The 20,836-nt window shown below is 47.4% G+C and overlaps 1 protein-coding gene across 8 annotated transcripts in view; it reads right to left on the bottom strand.

Moving 5' to 3' along the window:
• Positions 1-20,836, bottom strand: part of SFSWAP (splicing factor SWAP) — an 88,649-nt gene that overhangs the window by 37,348 nt on the left and 30,465 nt on the right. For all 8 annotated transcript variants that reach the window (XM_024449125.1, XM_047429327.1, XM_047429328.1 and 5 more), the window contains 4 exons: positions 9,028-9,268; positions 7,892-8,023; positions 6,912-7,005; positions 5,747-5,918 (listed from right to left, as the gene is read on the bottom strand). In XM_024449125.1, coding sequence (XP_024304893.1) covers positions 5,747-5,918; positions 6,912-7,005; positions 7,892-8,023; positions 9,028-9,268 — 639 coding nt within the window. The remainder of the gene's footprint in view (positions 1-5,746; positions 5,919-6,911; positions 7,006-7,891; positions 8,024-9,027; positions 9,269-20,836) is intronic.

The following is a 20,836-nucleotide window of genomic DNA, read 5'->3' as shown; positions in this document are numbered from 1 at the left end:
TGCCCAGGCTGCAGTGCAGTGGTGCAATCATAGCTTATTGCAGCCTTGACTTCCTGGCCTCAAGCAATCCTCCTGCCTGAGCCTCCTGAAGTGCTGGGATGACAAGCATGAGCCACCGTGCCCAGCCTCAAGTAGACTTTTTTTTTGTTTTTTTTTTGGAGACGGAGTCTCGCTCTGTCGCCCAGGCTGAAGTGCAAAGGCGCGATCTCAGCTCACTGCAACTTCTGCCTCCCAGGTTCAAGCGATTCTCCTGCCTCAGCCTCTTGAGTAGCTGGGATTACAGGTGCTCGCCACCATGCCCAGCTAATTTTTTGTATTTTTAGTAGAGATGGGTTTCACCATGTTGGCCAGGCTGGTCTCGAACTCCTGACCTCAGGTGATCCACCTTGTCCGGCCTGTCAAGTAGACATTTTAAAGCTAGTATCTATGCAAACCAAACACAAAGCCAAAACCACAGCTACTCACTCTAAGAGTGGCCTATGGCACACAGCCCACAGGCCTCCCTTACTCAGCCTTTACAGCTCCACAGGATGGACACTGAGAGGCTTCCCATTTTACAGATGGGAAAACCGAGGCTGAAAAGATTAACTAAGTTTCTCCAGGTACCTCAGGTCAGTACAGGGAATCAGGAATTGCTTCTTTATGTGGAATTTTTCAATCACAAAATTGTTGCTTCTGCCTAGAATCTTCCTTGCAGATCACGTCACAGCACATGGAAAGCATGTCCTACAGCTTCAGTGAGTAGGTCTCACGCTGCATTCAGAATAAACCCAGTTCCTTCCCAAGGCTGCCACGTCCCTGAGTGATCGGGGCCACTGCTCCACGTTTGCACTGCCCCTCACCTCTGCCTGAGAGCTGCCTGCTCTTCTCCTGTCCCTTTCACATTCTTCAAGGATCGGCCCCCACGATGCCTCCTCAGACAGGCCCTGCCCAACCTCTTTCCTGCACACCACTCACTATGATTTGCATTCAGGCACTGATGGTCCACTATCTCCTAGGCGGTGGAGGACGGGACCATGCGGGGACAGATGCATGGCTAACATGGCATCGGGCACCCCTGAGTGAACCCGCCATCTTCCATAGCAAATAGGTTTCTGTTTTTTAGCTAACAACTCTTATTGCTAACTTCTAACTTCAAAAGTAATATACATTTTCTGTGGGAGATTTTGAAAACATATGAGCAAATAGATCAATTGCAATTCCAATATGGAAAAAAAATCATCTGAACATAATCAGTGGATTCCCAGGCAGAAGTGTACAATGGCACACGTGTGTAAAATGGGGGCACAGCTCGTTTCATAACCTGCTATTTTCACTTTGAGACGGAGTTTCGCTCTTTCGCCCAGGCTGGAGTGCAGTGGCGCGATCTAGGCTCACTGCAACTTCCACCTTCCAGTTTCAAGCGATTCTCCTGCCTCAGCCTCCTGATTAGCTGGGATTACAGGTGCCCGCCATCACACCTAGCTGATTTTTGGATTTTTAGTAGAGACAGGGTTTCACCATGTTGACCAGGCTGGTCTCGAAATCCCGACTTCGTGATCTGCCCCCCTCGGCCTCCCAAAGTGCTGGGATTACAAGCGTGAGCCACCATGTCTGGCCCCAGCAACTCCTTTCTTTACTGTGTAGACAGGTTTCTGTGTCAACACAGACCACTTAAACAGACAGCAATAAGTAGTATGGACATGTCAATTCACAATTTCCCATAACTGTTTCCAAGTTTTTTTTTAATTTTAAAAAACAAACATGCCCTACAACGAACATCCATGTATAGACATCTTGGTAAAACACGTTTCTAGGAGTAGAAGGTCATTTTCATTTAAAACTCAGTCCATATTACTGGGTTCTATCGACTTACACTCAAAAACAGTATTCCTACTGCCCACAGCCTCTGTCTCATTGTTACTTTTTTTAAACTTTATCAATTTGAGAGGCAAAAAATAAAAACTTGTTAATGAGGCTACATTGAAAAAATATATTTACTAGCCATCGATTTTTCTTTTTGGAACCATATTTTCATGTCCTTTGTCTATTTCTCTAGGTCAGTGACTGTCTTTTTGTATTGATTTATAAAAGCTCTTTCTATAGTGAGGATGTTAACCTTTATTTTTATGTATTAGCAGTTACTGCCATTTCTGTATTTGTCTTTTAACTTTATTCAGGCCATGCCCCCATTAGACCTACCAATCTTTCCCTATGATTTACAGCTTCAGTTCTTAAGACACTTCTTTCCAGCTCCAAGATTATTTTAAAAGGAAAATTACCTTTATATTTTTCTACTTTTCTAGTTTTATGTTTTACATTTAAATACTGGATTTATATGGAATTATGGTTGTCAAATATGTGATATCTTATTATTTTTCAAAATGGAGAGCCTGTTTTTCCAACATTAATTAGTGTTATACTAAAGAAGTTTCATCATCAACATCTGAGAGAATGTTGCTGCTTTCTCGGCATCTGAGAAAGCCACTCATCTGTTAATATGTAAACTATACTAGAAGGTCTTCTCATTTTGTGACATGCTGGGATTCCTGGAACAATCCTACTTGCTCATCATCTATTACTATTTTCTTTTTTCTTTTTTTTTTTTTTGAGACGGAGTCTCGCTCTGTCACCCAGGCTGGAGTACAGTGGCGCAGTCTCGGTTCACTGCAAGCTCCGCCTCCCGGGTTCACGCCATTCTCCTGCCTCAGCCTCTCCGAGTAGCTGGGACTACAGGCGCCCGCCACCACGCCCGGCTAATTTTTTTTTTATTTTTAGTAGAGACGGGGTTTCACCGTGTTAGCCAGGATGGTCTCGATCTCCTGACCTCGTGATCCACCCGCCTCGGCCTCCCAAAGTGCTGGGATTACAAGCGTGAGCCACCGCGCCCGGCCTACTATTTTCATACATAGCTGAATTCAGTTTAATATTTTAACATCTATACTTGTAAGTGATCGTGGTCTACAGATTGCCAAGCTTTGAGAGCTTCATACTTTTCCATCCTTCTTAATGCTCTGGAGTGGCTTTAATGATGTAGGCATTCTATTTCTTGAGGGTGAATTAACTTGACCTTTAATTTGTCTTGGCTGACTGCCTGGGTTGAGAGGTATTTCACTAACCAATTATTTTCAAAATTCTTTCAGGTCTATAGGTCTATGTTGGTTCCTGATTTCTTCATGAAATAATTTCAGCACTTATGTTTTCTTAGAAAGCGATATTTTTCACTGATTTTCAAATTCATTCAAATTTAAAATAATATATGTTCTCATATACTTTATTTTCTAGTGTTAACTTCTAGTTGTAGCTTGTGTACTTAAAAAGATACCTATAATTTTCTTCCTCTGTCACGCAGGCTGGAACACAGTGGCGTGGTCTTGGCTCACTGCAACCTCCGTCTCCTGGGCTCAAAAGATCCTCCCACCTTAGCCTCCCAAGTAGCTGGGAGCACAGATGGGTGCCACCATGCCTGGCTAATTTAATTTAATTTTTTGTAGAGACATGGTCTCACGATGTTGTCCAGGCTGGTTTCTATCTCCCCGGCTTAAGTGATCCTCCCACTTCACAGCCTCTGTGAGGAGCTGGTGCTACAGGCATGTGCCACCATGCCCGGCTACATTTTTGTATTTTTAGCAGAGACGGGGTTTTGTCATTTGCCCAGGCTGGTCTCGAATTCCTGGACTCAAGTGATCTGCCTGCCCTGGCCTCCCTATGTGCTGGCATTATGGGCGTGAGCCACCACACTCCACAGCAATTTCTAAGCAATCTTTTCCATGTCTGATTACCAGTAGCACTAGTTTTATAATATTTTCCATTTTGTAGAATACAAATTAGAGACTTAAAAGATTTTTCTCCTGTTACGCAAGAGTCTGTTTCAGAGATGCCCATATGCCTGGAGGCTCAGCTGTGTCTCCCGAACTTTGGAATCTCTGTGGGCGCAATGACATTTCTGTCTCCGCATCTTTTCAAAGAGAGGCTGGCCTGTGCTTTTGAGAACTGAGAGTTAGCATGGGTTTTGTCAGATATTGAGTAGATCTCTGTTCAAGTGTCTCAGGCTTGGGTGGATGTAGACGGTAAACTTCTCGGTGTGTTGTTTCATCTGCCAGGTTCTAGGACAATCAGGGAAGTGTGGAGAAGGTCACGCTGGTTGGCAGCAGCCTTGTGGGCAGGGCTGCTCCTCTGCGGGCCCCACAGCTGGCAGGGGTCAGGTGCCTTCCCTGGGCTCACAACCCCTCTGCACACCCCATAGCTGGCTGGGTCAGGCGCCTTCCCTGGGCTCACAAACCCTGGGGCAGCAGGCAGGCTCGGGCTGTGGTTGTGTTCTGGGGTGTGAGAAGGGATGAGGTACTGCTGCCTCTGGGAAGCTCCCAGCTTGTTCCAGCCTCCTGCCTGCCCCTCTGTGGCTGACAGTCGACTCCCCTGGAGTCACTGCCCTGAGTCTCAAGGGTACTTCTCTGCAAGCTCCAGGTATGCTGCCTTACCCTGACCTATAGACAGTACCTCTCCCCGGGTTTCTAGAGCAGTAACCATTTTCCTCCTCTACTTATTACATTCCTTTGATTATCCCAGTGAGAGTATGCGGGTGGCCGGGAAGGGTGAGAGCTGGATCACTTGTGCTCAGGTAACCTACTCGAATGAGAGGCCCAAAGACACATATAGTGAATTGCCTAGTTAGCGGTTCATCCACATGGATTTGGTTTCGCTGAATGATCACCATTCTCATACAACAAGGCATCTTTATGCAAAGGACGGTCCTCTTATCACCCCAGCCCACTTCCTCAATCTCTTGTCTCCACTCTGCCTTTCCTTCTGACCCAAGAGCTGTCGCCTCGCCCCACTGCCACACCTCACCCCACTGCCACACCTGTCACACTCCATTCCAGGCCACCAATGCCACCAGAAATCTCTGAAGTCGCTCCAGTGGCTTAACCGCATCACAAAGTCACCAGACTGGATAAAGTTATTCCGCTGACCTAAAGCCTGTCAGATGTGCTGGCCCCTCCCCGACAGGGTGCACCGGGGCAAGCTGGCCAAGGCTCCTTCACCAGCCACCCCCGAAGTCACTGCTGACCACCTACCGCATCTCAACACGGGGCCGGGCAGCTCGCACCACGGGGCTCCTGCCTAGGGCTGCACCCCTGCCTCAGAGCTTCCCGTTCCTCTCGCAACACCAGCTGAACGCCTCTACTCCACAGAACCTCCCTCCCGCGGGGGGAGCCCACTGCTGCTCCACGAGGTTCCTGGCTAAGGGCCTGCTCTGGCCTTTGCTTCTGTCTGCTTTTTAATTACACTGACTTTGTATTTTTACATGCCTGTCTGTCCTGTGACATCAAAGTCTTGCTCCAAGAACATAACAAAGTAACTGAAATCGAGTGAGTGAAGTATTGCCTGGTAGAGATTCTCAAGGAATCTGCTTTGACAAATTAATAAATGAATTTCACTGGTACAACAGTTTGCATATAAATAGTTTCAGAAGTCCCAGGGAGTACAAAGGATTATTTGAAACTTTCTGTACAAATGTCCAGTACACTGAACAGACTGTTAAACAGACACATACCTAAGGGCTGCTCACACTCACGTTACCTCCAATGCCACGCGAGGCAAGCATGACACAGCATGGAAGGCAGAGGTTTCACCACAGCAACCTCCAGGGGGCCGCCAACCCCACCCCAGCCTGCAGGTGAGGGCGCTGAGTCTGAGGTCACCGAGGATCCTACGCTTGCCAACTTATGGTGGAATGTGCAAGGCCAACATGCAAGTGGCAGCATACCTTTCACCAGCTTCCCGTCCGGGACGGTCTTACTGGACGATGCCTCCTTCTTCCCGCCTGAGCCTGCCCGTGCTCCCACCTCGGCTGCGTCTTCAGGCGCGCCATCCTCCCCAGCATCACTTGGCTTCTCGGGAGCAGAGTCTGTGGGAGCCTCTTCTGGTGCAGACACAGCCTAGAGATTAAATGTCACTATAAACTGTCAGCAGGAAATTATACAGAAATTTTAAAAAAAGAGAGATGTATACGGTATATGTTTCACTGGACAACGGCAATTGTACATTACTGCCCAAGCAGCACTGGGAACAGACTTCCAAATCCAGATCTGCTGTTTTTTCTTACAATGGAATGTATCAAAGAGGAATGGAAGATTTTCTCCTGTCTGAAAAAACACTATACTCTTTGAAGCCCTAATACTGCCTTGGGAACCAATTTTCAGTATCTTTTCTTTGGACACTGATTACTCAGAATTCTTTAAAAATACCAAATTATCCCCATCACCTACAGAGGAGTCAGTTTCTTTCAGTGTGGGCTATTGGAGATAAGGGTCTGAAGAAATCTCCTGAGAAGTAAGGCCCATGTCATCTCCTCACCAAAACTGGCTTTACAAAAATGTCAGGGTGTCTATATAACTGAGAAGAGCAGAGCAAAGGCAGAAGAGGGGGCTGTAGGACAAAAAGCACTTCCAAGTGCGCCAGCACCACGCTGGGGATCTGGTGAGGGGGAAGGGCGTGCAGGCACAGGCAGAGGCCGTGCTGCAGGACACCCCCAGCACCAGCTGGCCAGGCATGAGGCGCCCACTTATATTTTATATATTTCATACATGTTAACACAACAGAAGCAAGGTACCCGGCTGTCATGAAAGGTAGCTAGTAACTGTAGACGGCCAAAACATCGAACAGTTGAAGGAACAGGATTTTTTTTGTTTGTTTAGAACGTGCTGGACAAACAATCATCAATGCTGTGAACGTGGGCAGATGCTTTCAACAGATCAGGTTCCAGAGCTAAGGGGGACGTGAAAGATGGAGTATGCCAGACACACATTAAAAAAAGGTGAAGAATCACCCAGCCCTTTCACCTGTAGGAGAAGAAACAGAAAGCGACTTCTGATCTGGAAGGCGGAGCCACCTCTAAGAGCTTCACAGCCTCCCTGCATTCAGACACGTACCTGCATGCTATCGCCCCCTTCTTTCTGGAGGAAGAACTGCTTCTTAAACTCATAATAAGCATTATACTGGTGCCACGGCTGCAGGAACTCAAATCTGAGCAGAAAAAGAAAGAAAATGGGTCATTTACCAAGACAAGCTCACTGAAGTAACAACAGGCCCTGTTCTCCTAGCTCTTTACTGATCTCAACAATCCCACAAGGTGGTTACTGTTTTAGCTACTCATCTTATAGACGAGGGAGACTGCACACAGGGGGTCGAAATCGCTTGCCCGGGGTTACACAGGTCACGCTGCAAATGTGACAACATATCTTTACGTTTTATTAGTACTGAGGCGTGGGACATTGCTTGGTTTTTAAAAAGAAGGGTTTGTGTCTAGATTTTTAAGGCAGATTCTTGAAAACCATGAATTATAGGCTTTTATTTTAGGTAGCTTCAAAATTCCTACTTAAAAAATGAAACAAAAAACAGGTAACATAATTTAAAAACACCACCCAAGTCTAAGCAATTTAACAAGCCAATTAAAAAATGTATTTATCTAAAGACATTGGTTGGGCGTGGTGGCTCACATCTGTAATCCTAGCACTTTGGGAGGCTGAGGCAAGTGGATCACTTGAGGTCAGGAGTTTGAGACCAGCCTGGCCAACACAGTGAAACCCTGTCTCTACCAAAATACAAAAATTAACCAGGCGTGGTGGTGCGCGCCTGTAGTCCCAGCTACTCAGGAGGCTGAGACAGGAGAATTGCTTGAGCCCAGGAGGTAGAGGTTACAGTCAATCAAGATCGCGCCACTGCACTCCAGCCTGGGTGACAGAGCAAGACTCCATCTCAAAAAAAAAAAAAAAAAAAAAAAAGACATTTGAGCCAAGAAAAGGCTTAAAAATATATAAAAAAATTAATTCTGTACCTACATTTTTTTAAAAAAAGGCTAAACGAAACCCCCAAATGCCATATACCTAACATATAAAATTCTTCTTCTGACCTTTGATCATTCTTGGCACGAACACTGGTCTCGAACTTCAGGCCGTTCCTGGCGACATACTCGGCCAGCTTGTCAATCACGGGCTGGACGTCGGGGGGCGGGGGGATGATGGCGGCCACGGGGGCAAGTGCACTGCAGGAGAAGAGTCTGTGAGACCCCTGGGCTTCAGGGGCTCGCCAAGCTCAGTCCTGGCTGCTCGGGGGTCCTCACCGCCTCAGATGCCCGGAGAGACATGTGAGTTATAAACAGTGTGTTAGGGGAGGCTCTTGTTGAAGGTGATGCACACGACAGAAACTAAAGTCAACTAGACAGGATTGTTGTCAAGAGTGAAAAATGGGGATTTTAGTGATAAAAGGTGCATTTTTCCTACTAATTAACATTTCCCCCCAATCACAAGCTAATTCTTAGAAATAACAAAGAATAAGCAGTTTGTTGTTGTTGTTGTTATATTGAAAACAAGTCGGCAAGCATGGTTCAACCTCCTTCATTTCCTGTCTGACTTGCTCAGCATGACCAGAAAGAGTCGTTTTCACAGAAACTCGCGTGTTTCATTCCATTTCCCAGGAGTCTCCTTTCAAGGCAGGGCATTCCAGGCCCACTGGTAAAGCGCCTGTCTCATACTCGTCCCCTGAACACTGGGGGCCCTCGCTGCTGGAGAAGCTAGGGCTCTGCCGATGGCTTCACAGGTTAACTAAAGTAGCTGCCAGGGTCCCCTGGTGGCCAACAGCTTGGGAGAGACTCATGAAGCACCCCAACATCACCTGCGTCAACTTTATGAACCTGCATGTTTTGCAAACAACTGCAGCTTCACTGCATACTGATTTTGCCTAGCACAGCTCAACTGAGACTCTGACACAAAGCGCAAGAACAGATGCTGGAGATCTGGGGCCAGCGTGCGACGTGAAATGAATTCAACTTTATAAGTGGTTTAACTTCAATGCTAAAAAGTTTGTGCTACAACCATTTCTGTTTTCCTGTCAACTTTGTAACTTGGGGATTTGGAATAATAACTACTCAGACAATGGGGACCCCTGTATATGATCTAGATTACAAGCCCCCCATGGAGACACAGACGGCCCCAGTGACTGCAGTGCTGAGTGACTCACACAGCAGGCAGCGGTGGACGCTGCACCTACCTTGTGGTGGTGGTTGTGGAGGTGGCCCCGCTGCTAGTCTCTGCTGTGGTTGGGGGCGGTAGTGGTGTGGTCCCAGGAGGTGGTGGGGCGGTGGTCGTCACTCCAGGGGAGTTAGACACGGTCACGCCAGCAGGAAGGGTGCTGTAGTAAGTAGTCACGTCGATTCCGGGAGGGGGCGGCGCCAGGCAGTAAGTGCCGTCCGGTAGCATGTAGTAGCTGTAATACATGGCTGCCACGGTCGCTGTGGAGACACATTGCCCCGGAGTGAGCATGGCCGGCCACAGGCTGGTCCATGAGTCCACAATGCAGCCACAAGAGCCCTTCCCCCGGCAAGATGCAGCCTTGCCTCTGCTCACTTCCAACCATGCTGTTTTCTAGATTTTTCTGATACAAAAAGTTGTCTGCACAATATGCAATTTAAAAGAACCAGGCAAAGCCACAACACGCATCCAAAGACAGATGGAAAGCGAATGGCATGAGGACATTCAAAGGCACCAGATATGAATACTCTCTAGACAAATTAATGTCCTCCTTAACTTCAAAATGTGCAGGTTGGGAACAGTCTCCTCTCTAGCGGCAACCAGTCATCCCTTTGCTCACACGGCCCACGAAGGCCACCTATGCTCCTAAATGCACATGTGAGGAAATGCCTTTGGCTAGCTCCCCGCGCTGACACCTGCTTTCATTCCCCAGGCACGCTGCTCCCTCCATTCACACGTTAATCCGGAAACCATCCCCTCAGTAAGGCAGCTGCTCCTGGCAACCCTGGCGTCAGCCCCCGGCCCCAGCAACACAGGCTGTGCAGGAATTTATTCAGTAAATAAAAGTTCCCAGGGGCACTGAGGCTGTGTCTGGACCTTTCCATCACAGACAGTGATGTATGCCGTCTTGCCACCTATGCTGTGCACACAAGCAGGTATCTGTAGGGTAGAGGCACGCTGTCTTAACAATTAAAAATCCTGTACATTTATCCTTTTTGGGGTTAAATGTTCAGAACCACGAATCACAGAAGATTCAATGATTAATTACGAAATTTAATTTCCAGTCCTGTTGTAGATAAGCAAGTAGTTCTGACTACACAGAGATTTAATTTCCTCTTTATTAGGAGATGGCAAAAATATTTTTCGAATTAAGAACTTTTATCTTCACTTTCAATCAATTCACCTTAAAACAATAACATTGAAAAACAGTAAAAGCTTAACTATGGTTTCCAGTAATGTATGCTATGCAGAGAAAAATTTCAGAAGTACAACTTAGACTATCTTGACCTTTCCATCTTAGATTGGCGAGGCAGCATAATTCCTATGTGCTGTAGGCATATTCCCCAGCTGCTAATGACTTATTTAAATTAATTATACATGATGAACTCCTAAACCGTTGTTCTCTAGCTCCATGTTACACACCAACCACCATGACACAGAAACAGTAATACTCCAAATTTTCAAAATAAGATAAGTGGGTTCGATGTGCTCCACATTATCGTCAACACAGATATATCTGAGCAACATTTCTGAGAAAAGGCCGGGAGCAGGGGATGAGACCCTTGGATGTCAATGGGAGGCTGACAGCAGGGCAGGCACCGTCTCTGAGGCTCCTGCAGCGGCAGGTCCTGTCTTCACTGTCTCTGCAGCCTCTGCATTGAGCAGAGTATGTGCTGGACCAACGAACTGACCTGATGGTCCAACATAGGCTTCCTATCAAAATCAGGAATCCGAATATAAGCATGTGCTTCTGTAAGAGACAACGTCATCCCTGGAAGGGGGGAGCTGCTGCTTCCACCCACTCCCTGCTGGAGCCATCAGGCTACTATGTATGGATGCTTCCTCTCAGCCAGGGCGAAGCCAGCACTCCAGGGGAGAGAGTGCAGCCCAGTGTGTGCTTAGCTCTGGGGAGGGCCAGGCGGAACTGACCCCACTACCGACTGGCTACTGTCAGGTCTCCAGCCTCCCACCTCAGCAGGAAGGACGGAAACCCCATGTCCTGCTCTGGACAGTCAGTCTCACCCCTAAAAAGTGTCCAAACATGTTTTAAACTGGGGCCACAAAGGACGGGATCTGAATTCACAAAAACAAACAAAACAAAACGGTTTATAATTATTTCAACTAGTAGTACATATTATGCAGCTCCAACCTGATACCTGCATTCTTTATGTAACTGTGTAAAGTGCAATCACACTGGAACACAACAGAGATGAAGAAACTGTTTTCAAAGCTGAGCGCCATTCCTTTAAAGAACACGCAGACTGTTAGTCTATATGACCTTCCTGAGCCTTCCATCTTGTTAAATAAAAACGAAGTGTTAAAAAAAATAGCAGTGCCGGCAAAATGGCAGACTGCTCAGAGACTCATCCACTACAAATGTCAAAAATGTCAGCTAATTTGAAAAATTTAGGCTGGGTGCCATGGGTCACACCTATAATCCCAGCACTTTGGTAGGCTGAGGTGGGAGGATGCTTCAGGCCTGGGCAATACCATCAGACCCCATCTCCAAAAAATAAAATAAAATAAACTAGCTGGGCATGGTACACATCTACAGTCCCAGCTACTTGGGAGGCTGTGGCAGGAGGATGGCTTGAGCCCAGGAGTTTGGGGCTGCAGTGAGGTGTTGATGGCACCATTGTGCTCCAGCTTGGGTGATGGAGTGAGCCCCTGAGCTGAGCTCACAAAAAGAAAAAAAGGCTGCCTGTAGGTGTAAAAATGAAACAAATGCCCAAATCTGAAAACACTCCAGGGACATCCTAGCCTAGGTCCACAACTTGCTTCAGAGGCTCCACGCTAAAAACCACTCAGGCTGACAATGCTCTGGGCACACCCTTGACCCAGACCCAGGAGATTCTCACAGAGGAGAGCTGTGAAGCCGAGACACGCGCAGCCTCTGTGAGGCGGTCTGCTGCTAGCCACTGCTGCTGTCACCTCTTCCCCACACACACCTGTGATTCTCTCCAAGGTTTTAATCAAATTTGAAAATCATCCTGTCTCTCAAAAGGACTCCAAGAGAAATAAAGTATGTGTTGCTTGATGAGATGAAAACACTTCTCTGTCTGCCGACAGAGAATGTGGGACGTGTCCTATGGCACTGCCATGCTCGGAGGCAGCCCGGGAACCAACACCACAGTGGTTCATGAATTCCGCTACACCGTTCCTGGGTTGCTTCTCCCAGATTCTCACTTCATAGGGTGTCAGGGATGTGAAGATCTAAGGGAGGACGTCAGATCCATCCTTCCCCAGACACTGTGGCCCTGGTGGGAGGCAGGACGGGCACAAGTCATCTGGAGCAGCCCAGGGCCAGCCTCCCGAAGGGCTTCTGCCGCTTGCCCAGCCCACCCCTTGCCCTGGCTTCTGTTCCCCAGGTCTCTGTCCTTTGCACGGCCTCACAGGGTCTCTGCCTGCCATGAGGCCCCTATTCAGCTTATCTCCAGTGCCACCTCTTTCGGGAAGCCTCTGCCTCCTTGGCAGACTCAGGAGGCCTTTGCTCTGGGCTCGCGTGGGGACCCTGTAAACAACGCCCTATGGCAACTCCTGCGCCACTAGGACTGGTGTGCAGCTATGTTCCCAAGGACTCCATATCTCCAAATAGTGACCACAAAACCTTAGCCGCTCACACAGCTCCTGGCATGAGCAGGCCCTCAGTAAGTGTTTAATGAGTGAGTTCATGCCAGCTGGTGGCACGGCCTGGACTGCTTCTAAAATGCCTCAGTGCTAAAATATCCTGCAGTGACCATGAAGCTGCTTGACACGTGCCGCACACAATGGTGGCACCATACAGCTCACAGAACCCTTTAACTGGACTGAAGCCCTTTAAACTGACTACCAACTATAGGACACAGGGATTTTGTATACAGCCCCTTGTATGTTGTACACAGCAATTCTCGTGAACACTAAATTTTAAGAATTTCTGGACTAGTACAGGGTGACAACAGAAATAAAATCTACAAGCTGGGCTGTAGTCTACAAACTGAAGTCTGGGCTGGCAAAAGCCACATCAGCTTTACAATAACTGTGCCATTACTAGTCATGAACGGGGGAGGGCACAGTGTGCCAAGGGGCTCCTGCTGTCCTCAGGCTGCCACGACATGCCGGGATTCTCCTGGGCTTATAGCGAGGCTACTTCCCGACAACCCCACCATACACTGACAACACCGTGAAGTGGAAAATGCACAGAATCCACCTATAACCCACCGAACACCATGGCACAGCCTCACCTGCCTTAAATGTGCTCAGGGCACCTACAGTAGCTGACGGCTGGATGACATCATCTAACACGAAGCCTATTTTATAATAAAGTTTTTAGTATCTCAAGCATTTTACTGATGTTCTACTGAATGCAAATTGCATGTGCACCATCATCGAGTTGAACCCTCAGTAAGCTGGGACCACATATATCTTGTTAGGTTTGTTGCTGTTCTTAGGATTTTATATTGAATTTCCCAAAGGGGACTACGTTTTAAACTAAGTTAAATGCTGACGTAATGTTACTCTAATAAACGCTATGAGTACTACGAAAGCCTACTCCAAATAAATCCAAGAAAGAAATTCCAATAGGTACCTACACAGTCCCTAAAGGCAAGTATAGTTGTATGACGAGAACCAAGCTGCTTAAAAGCAGGAAGCACATTTGTAAGTCCTTCTCCAATACTGCCTCCTCTGAAACGTGCAGAGCTACTTAACATAGGTCAGAGAAATCTGCCTAATTATCTCCCAAGGCCCTCTATTCAACTGGCTTCTTGCAAAAATCAGAGCCAGTTCTCTCGTATCTCTGCATGATCTTAATCTCGTGTGAATTTAACACACAGAACAGAACTCCTGTGCTGAGAAGGTTCTTAGAGAGGAGATTGGTGAGCAACCACCTTTCTGGAAGAGCTAAGTCAGGGAGGATGAACAATGTGTATATTAAGAATGAAAATAGGCTGGCCAGGGTGGCTTACACCTGTCATCCCAGCACTTTGGGAGGCCAAGGTCGGGGGATCACTTGAGGCCAGGAGTTCCAGACCAGCCTGGCCAACATGGTGAAACTCCGTCTCTACTAAAAAATACAAAAAAATATTAGCTACTTGGGAGGCTGTGGCAGGAGAATCACTTGAACCCGGGAGGTGGAGGCTGCAGCGAGCTGAGATCAGAGCCAGACTGTCTCAAAAAAAAAAAAAAAGAATTAAAATAGTTAAGAGTTCTATGGAGATAAGTATAGATATTCTGAAAACACACACCTATTTTAATAAGAAATGTTAAAGAGATGGCCCCTGTGTTTTAGCCAGGCAAATGTAACTAGCTGAGCACATCTGAGAGGCAGGAACAAGCCAGCCTTCCTGTCTCCCGGCTCTCCAGGCATCCAGAGTCAGATGGTGGCCTCGCTGCTCCCACAGCCCCAGGCTCTTCCTCGGCAGCGGCCATGCCTCTCGGTCTCTTTTCCTGGATCTAAATCCTGTTGACAGGAACTCTTCTAAGTTCAGTGGCTTTGAATTCTATTTATACTTGATGGCTGCAAAATTCACTTCTCCAGCCCTGAGCTGAACTTGAACTTGTGCATTAACCACCTACTCAACATTCCCACTGGGATGTCTCGTACATATTTCAAGCCGAATGTGTCCAGAACAGAGCCCCTGATTTCTCCCCATGCCTCTCCTCTGTAGTCCCCCAATGCAGGAGGTGGCCACACCCCTCATCCATCCAGTTCATCTGGCAGACCCCAAGGCTGACGCCCGATGATTCAGCTCTGAGTCCTGCCCTCCAGCTGCAGCACCTCCTGCCCTCCATGTGTACAGCCTCTTGGCTGCTGCCTGCCCCGGGTTTTCCACCCTTGCCTCCACAGTTTCTGCCTGAATCCCTCCCATGGCGACCTCTCTCAACCAGGGTCAAGCTAAGTCCCTTGTCTGGGAAGCCCTCCTGCAAACCCACCTGCCTGCTTCTCCTACCTCATGTCCCATTGCTGTCCCATCCCCCATCCTGCACATGGTAATTGCTGGGCTCACCTGCACTTCCTCTGGTCTCTGGTCACAGGAGGCCTCCCTGTCCCCATGATGCCAGCACTGCTGGCCTCCCCAGAACCCTGGTCCCCTTGTCATGGCCACTTTCTCCATCGCTCTTAGTCACATGTCCACTGTCACTGTCTGGCTCTGCCCTCCAGAACATAAGCTCCATGGCAGAAGGAGGTTTGTCCACTGTGTTCCTGGCATGGCAGAGCATGATGCAAATCGCTCAACACCTGTACAAGTTACACAGGAGAGAATGGTAACGAGCATGGCATGAGCTTTTTTTTTTTTTTTTGAGACAGAGTCTCGCTCTGTTGCCCAGGCTGGAGTGCAGTGGTGCGATCTCGGCTCACTGCAAGCTCTGCCTCCCGGGTTGATGCCATTCTCCTGCTTCAGCCTCCCGAGTAGCTGGGACTACAGGCACCCGCCACCACACCCGGCTAATTTTTTGTATTTTTAGTAGAGACCGGGTTTCACCGTGTTAGCCAGGATGGTCTCGATCTCCTGACCTCATGATCTGCCCGCCTTGGCCTCCCAAAGTGCTGGGATTATAGGCGTGAGCCAGCATGCCCGGCCAGCATGAGCTTCTCCATGGCAGCAAAGGCTCCTGCAGATGGCGGCATCCAGCACCCACATTCTTAGGGAAAGTCATACCCACCCCGCAATTCTAGGTGCTTCCAAACTACCTGTCAAATGGGAAGGCAAAATTAAGGCATTTTCAGATATCCAAGAATTTAAAAAACTTTGTGTTCCTATGTACCCTTTCTTGGGAAACTACTGGAGGATGTGCTCCAGCAAAATACAGAAGTAAACATACAAGCAACAAGAACAGGAATGAACACAGGAAAGAAAGAGAAGTCACAGAAAAGCACTGGCTACAGGCTCAGAACAGTGATGTTCCAGGCGGGGACGGGGGACAGGGAAACCCAGCTGTCAATTTCACCAAATGCACACTGCAAACAAACGACCCACATGCCAGAGAAGCTTGCTCCGCCTGGGTCTAGCAGCAGCAAATGAGGCATCAAAAGTCAAGACTTGCTTAAAAGATGGCACCATTACATGAGTCTACACTGCAACAACGCTGTAGGTCCTCAGCTAGGAAGGCGGCACAGCTCCATCTGAGAACCACCTCTCAAGGGTGATCTTAACTTGCCTGCATTCCCTTCCATTCTTTCTCCACATGCACACTGACTTCTCAGAGATACAAGGTGGGCTGCACTGCAAAGATGATGTGCATGTTCCCAATACTCACCTGAGATCTCCTCTCCAATTCAGGCTAATGGTTCACCAATATATGCAGTCATCTGTAATACTACGCATGTACATGTATTAGTGTGTCATACAGAACATGCAATATGTAGCAAATTTCCCAGACCATAACCGATGTTTGTTTATTTCCATTTAATTTTCAAGCTGGATTCTAGGAGGAAGCCGCTGAGAGCAGATTTACCCTAGCAGGGCTGGTAAGCCAGGAAGCGGCCCACTCTGAAGCCCACAGCCTGACCCGCTGCCAAGAGTCGCCATTCCCTGCAGGCTTATTCGGCTGCTGGATCAATGTCAGAATAAATTGTTTTCATGGCAATTCCACTATTTAATGTAAAATTCTACAATACTACCTTTTTTTTTTTGCCAAAAAAAAAAAAAGCCTTACTAAAAGTTTCATTACCATCTGAAGATGCAGATCCCTGAAACAGGTATTTTTAGGTCCTTCAGACTGTGCCAGCCTGCCTGATTTGAGAATCTTACTCTGCCTATAGTTAGAGTGCTGCCTTATTCACAGTGAAGACCTGCACCCCAGGAGAGGTCCACATTCTATGCATGTAAATGTCAGGCACTGACAACACGATTCAAGAATAATTGTTTTTATTACTGAATTCTGCATTCTCAAGAATGAGGAAAGTGCCTAATACACCCAGGGGATGTTAGAAACCTTCAAGGTCCTCTAGAAGTGAATGAGAGAAATCAGGGCGGAGAAACTCTTTCTCCTTCTGCAAGTTTCTCTTTTCCACTCAATTATCTCCATTCTCATGACTTCTGACTTCATCTCCTGAACTCAGATAATTTTCAAGAATTCCTAAAAGATCCCTTCTGGCAATTGTTCGTTTTAGGCAGGGTGGTTATCTACTAGCTCTCTATAACATAAATCTCATATTGCAAGAATAAAAATGGTAAAACAAACCAAAAACTCCTTAAGATGTAAGCCCAAAGTTTTTAAGAAAATATGATCTTCCTTCCCATCCTCCCAAATACTTAAAAGCATTTATTATTTGGCTCATCACACATTGTGTCCAAGTATTTTCCAACTGAGATAAAACTGGTATGGTTTGGCTGTGTCCCCACCCACATCTCATCTTGATTAGTAACTAGCACAATTCCCATGTGTTGTGGGAGGAGCCTGGTAGGAGGTGACAGAATTATGGGGGTGGGTCTTTCCTGCGCTGTTCTCATGTTAATGAATGAGTCCCACAAGATCTGATAGTTTCAAAAACAGGAGCTTCTCTGTACAGCCTCTCTTTGCCTGCTGCCATCCATGTAAGACATGACTTTGCTCCTCCTTGCCTTCTGCCATGATTGTGAGGCCTCCCCAGCCATGTGGAACTGTTAAGTCCATTAAACCTCTTTTTCTCTCCAGTCTCAGGTATGTCTTTATCAGCAGTGTGAAAATGGACTAATCCAGTAATTTGGTACCAGAATTGGGGTACTGCTGAAAAGATAACCCCAGAATGTGGAAGTGACTTTGGAACTGGGTAACAGGCAGAGGTTAGAACAGTTTGGAGGGCTCAAAAGAAGACAGGAAAATTAGGGAAAGTTTGGAACTTCCCAGAGATTTGCTGAATGGCTTTGCCCAAAATGCTGATAGTGACAGGAACAATAAGGTCCAGGCTGAGGTGGTCTTAGATGGAGATGAGGAACTTGTTGGGAACTGAGGCAAAGGTGACTTCTTATGTTTTGGCAAAAACACTGGTGGCATTCTGCCCCTGCCCTAGAGATCTGTGGAACTTTAAACTTGAGAGAGATGATTTAGGGTATCTGGTGAAAGAAATTTCTAAGCAGCAATGCATTTGAGAGGTGACTTGGGTGCTGTTAAAGGCATTCAGTTTTATAAGGAAACACAGCATAAAGGTCTGGAAAATTTGCAGTCTGACAATAGAAAAGAATATCTCATTTTCTGAGGAGAAATTCAGGCTGGCTGCAGAAATTTGCATAAGTAACCAGGAGCCGAATGTGAATCCCCAAGACAATGCAGAAAATGTCTCTAGAACATGTCAGAGGTCTTCATGGCAGCCCCTCCCATCACAGGCCTGGAGGCCTAGGAAGAAAAAACGGTTTCGTGGTCTGGGCCCAGGGTCCCTGTGCCGTGTGCAGCCTAGGGACTTGGTACCCTGTGTCCCAGCTGCTCCAGCCATGACTAAAAGGGGCCAAGGTACAGCTTAGGCTGTGGCTTCAGAGGGTGGAAGCCCTAAGCCTTGGCAGCTTCCATGTGGTGTTGAGCCTGCAAGTGCCCAGAAGTCAAGAACTGAGGTTTGGGAACCTCCATCTAGATTTCACAGGATGTATGGAAATGCCTGGATGCCCAGGCAGAAGTTTGTGGCAGGGGCAGGGCCCTCATCGAGAACCTTTGCTAGGGCAGTGTGGAGGGGAAATGTGAGGTCGGAGCCCCCACAGAGAGTCCCTACTGGGGTACTGCCTAGTGCAGCTGTGAGAAGAGGGCCACCATCCTCCAGACCCCAGAATGGTAGATCCACCAACAGCTTGCACCGTGCTCCTGGAAAAGCCACACTCAACACCAGCCTGTGAAAGCAGCCGGGAGGGAGGTTGTACCCTGCAGAGCCACAGGCGCGGAGCTGCCCAAGACCATGGGAACACACCTCTTGCATCAGCGTGACCTGGATGCGAGACATGGAGTCAAAGGTCATTTTGGAGCTTTATGATTTGACTGCCTTGCTAGATTTTGGACTTGTACAGGGCCTGTGCAGCCCCTCTGTTTTGGCCAATTTCTCTCATATGGACGGTTGTATTTACCCAATGCCTGTACCCCCATTATATTTAGAAAACAACTAACTTGCTTTTGATTTTATAGGCTGGTAGGCAGAAGGAACTTGCCTTGTCTCAGATGAGATGTTGGACTGTGGACTTTGAGTTAATGCTGAAATGAGTTAAGACTTTGGGGGACTGCTGGGAAAGCATGACTGGTTTTGAAATGTGAGGATGTGAGACTTGGGAGGGGTGAGAGGGGATGATATGGTTTGGCCATGTCCCCACCCAAATCTCATCTTGAATTATAACTACCACTATTCCCACATGTTGTGGGAGGAACCTGGTGGGAGGTGACTGAATTATGGGGGCGGGTCTTTCCCGCATTATTCTTATAATAGTGAATGAGTCTTATGAGATCTGATAGTCTCAAAAACAGGAGTCTCTCTGCACAAACTCTTTGCCAGCTGCCATCCATGTAAGACATGACTTGCTCCTCCTTGCCTTCTGTCATGATTGTGAGGCCTCCCCAGCCATGTGGAACTGTAAGTCCATTAAACCTCTTCTTCTCCTCCTCAGTCTCGGGTATGTCTTTATCAGCAGTGTGAAAACAGACTAATATAAACCATGAGGCTATCCATATCACAACACAGAATGGTTTCCAATGATCTGTTAATGGGTTCTTATATGCCAAGACTTACAATAAAATCACTTAACATGCAGTCCATCACAACCACACTGTATTTTGTTGTAACCTCCCGACGACCTAGTATCTTAAAAAAAAAAAAAAGTCCCCCAACAAGAGAAGACTTGTTTTGACATCACCAAATTGGATTAGGGAAACCTGAATGATTTCTGTAGTGATGCAAGATTACTCATTTGTCAAACTGGGAAACTACCAAAATGAATCCGTTTTGGGCATTTAACCAGCTATTTGGAATTTTAGCCCACTGTGCTTAAAAGTCACCTCTTTCTGGCAAATAAAACTTTCCTCTAGAAAAAAAAAAGCCTGTCTCTAAACATAACTTACCATTTTCATCAGTGACCCTCAAAGTAAAAAGCTTTCAATTTTTAATGCTGTACTGAGGTTTTGAAGACTTCTTACATAAAAATAGGTTCCAGAGAGTTGTGGGTAAAGAGAGCAAGTGGCTGAAGTGAGACCTGGGCCCCACCATGGAAAGAAGCAGGTGGAAATGCCAATGACCTGCCGTGGGGATCCTGACAGTGAGGAGAACGGGGCTTGTGGACCTGGGGCCCTGCCTGACACATATGCTGTGATACTCAAGAACGTCTCTCCCTGTAGTTCCCTCACTGGGGGAAGGAAATCCAATCTAGGACATTTTTAGAATCTCACAAAAGACAGCAGAGGATAGGTCTTCCCAAGAAGGCTGTTGGAAGGGAAGAAAAAGGTGCTAAGAGAAGGTGAGAGAGCATCAAGGAGAATCCACCCACACCAAGAACACACAGGCTTGCACACCAGGGAAGAAGGAGCACCAGACGGCATGAGACCCTGCACACGCCCCCAGGAAAAGCAGCGGAGGGAAGTAGCATGGCATGTGAATGGCATCTCAGGCTACAGGAGCATGTGACCCGAGGAACCTTTGAGCTCTCTGAGCCACAGATGAATCTGGGAAGACAGGAATTCAACAAAGCACAAAAATAAGGTAACATAACCAAATGCAACAGAGGGGGAGGCTGTGAGGCAGGGTCCAGCAGGCGCTCTCCCTGTTCTTGTACAGCCATCAGCAGAATGGTGTTTACTGTTTTTTTTTTTTTTTTGGACAGAGTCTCGCTGTGTTGCCCAGGCTGGAGTACAGTGGCACAACCATTGCTCCCTGCAGCATGGAACTCCTCGATGCCCTCCCCTCT

The sequence above is a fragment of the Homo sapiens genome, chromosome 12, assembly GCF_000001405.40.
Source record: "Homo sapiens chromosome 12, GRCh38.p14 Primary Assembly".
Taxonomy (NCBI): Eukaryota; Metazoa; Chordata; class Mammalia; order Primates; family Hominidae; genus Homo; species Homo sapiens.
This window is presented reverse-complemented; position numbering and strand designations above follow the sequence as displayed.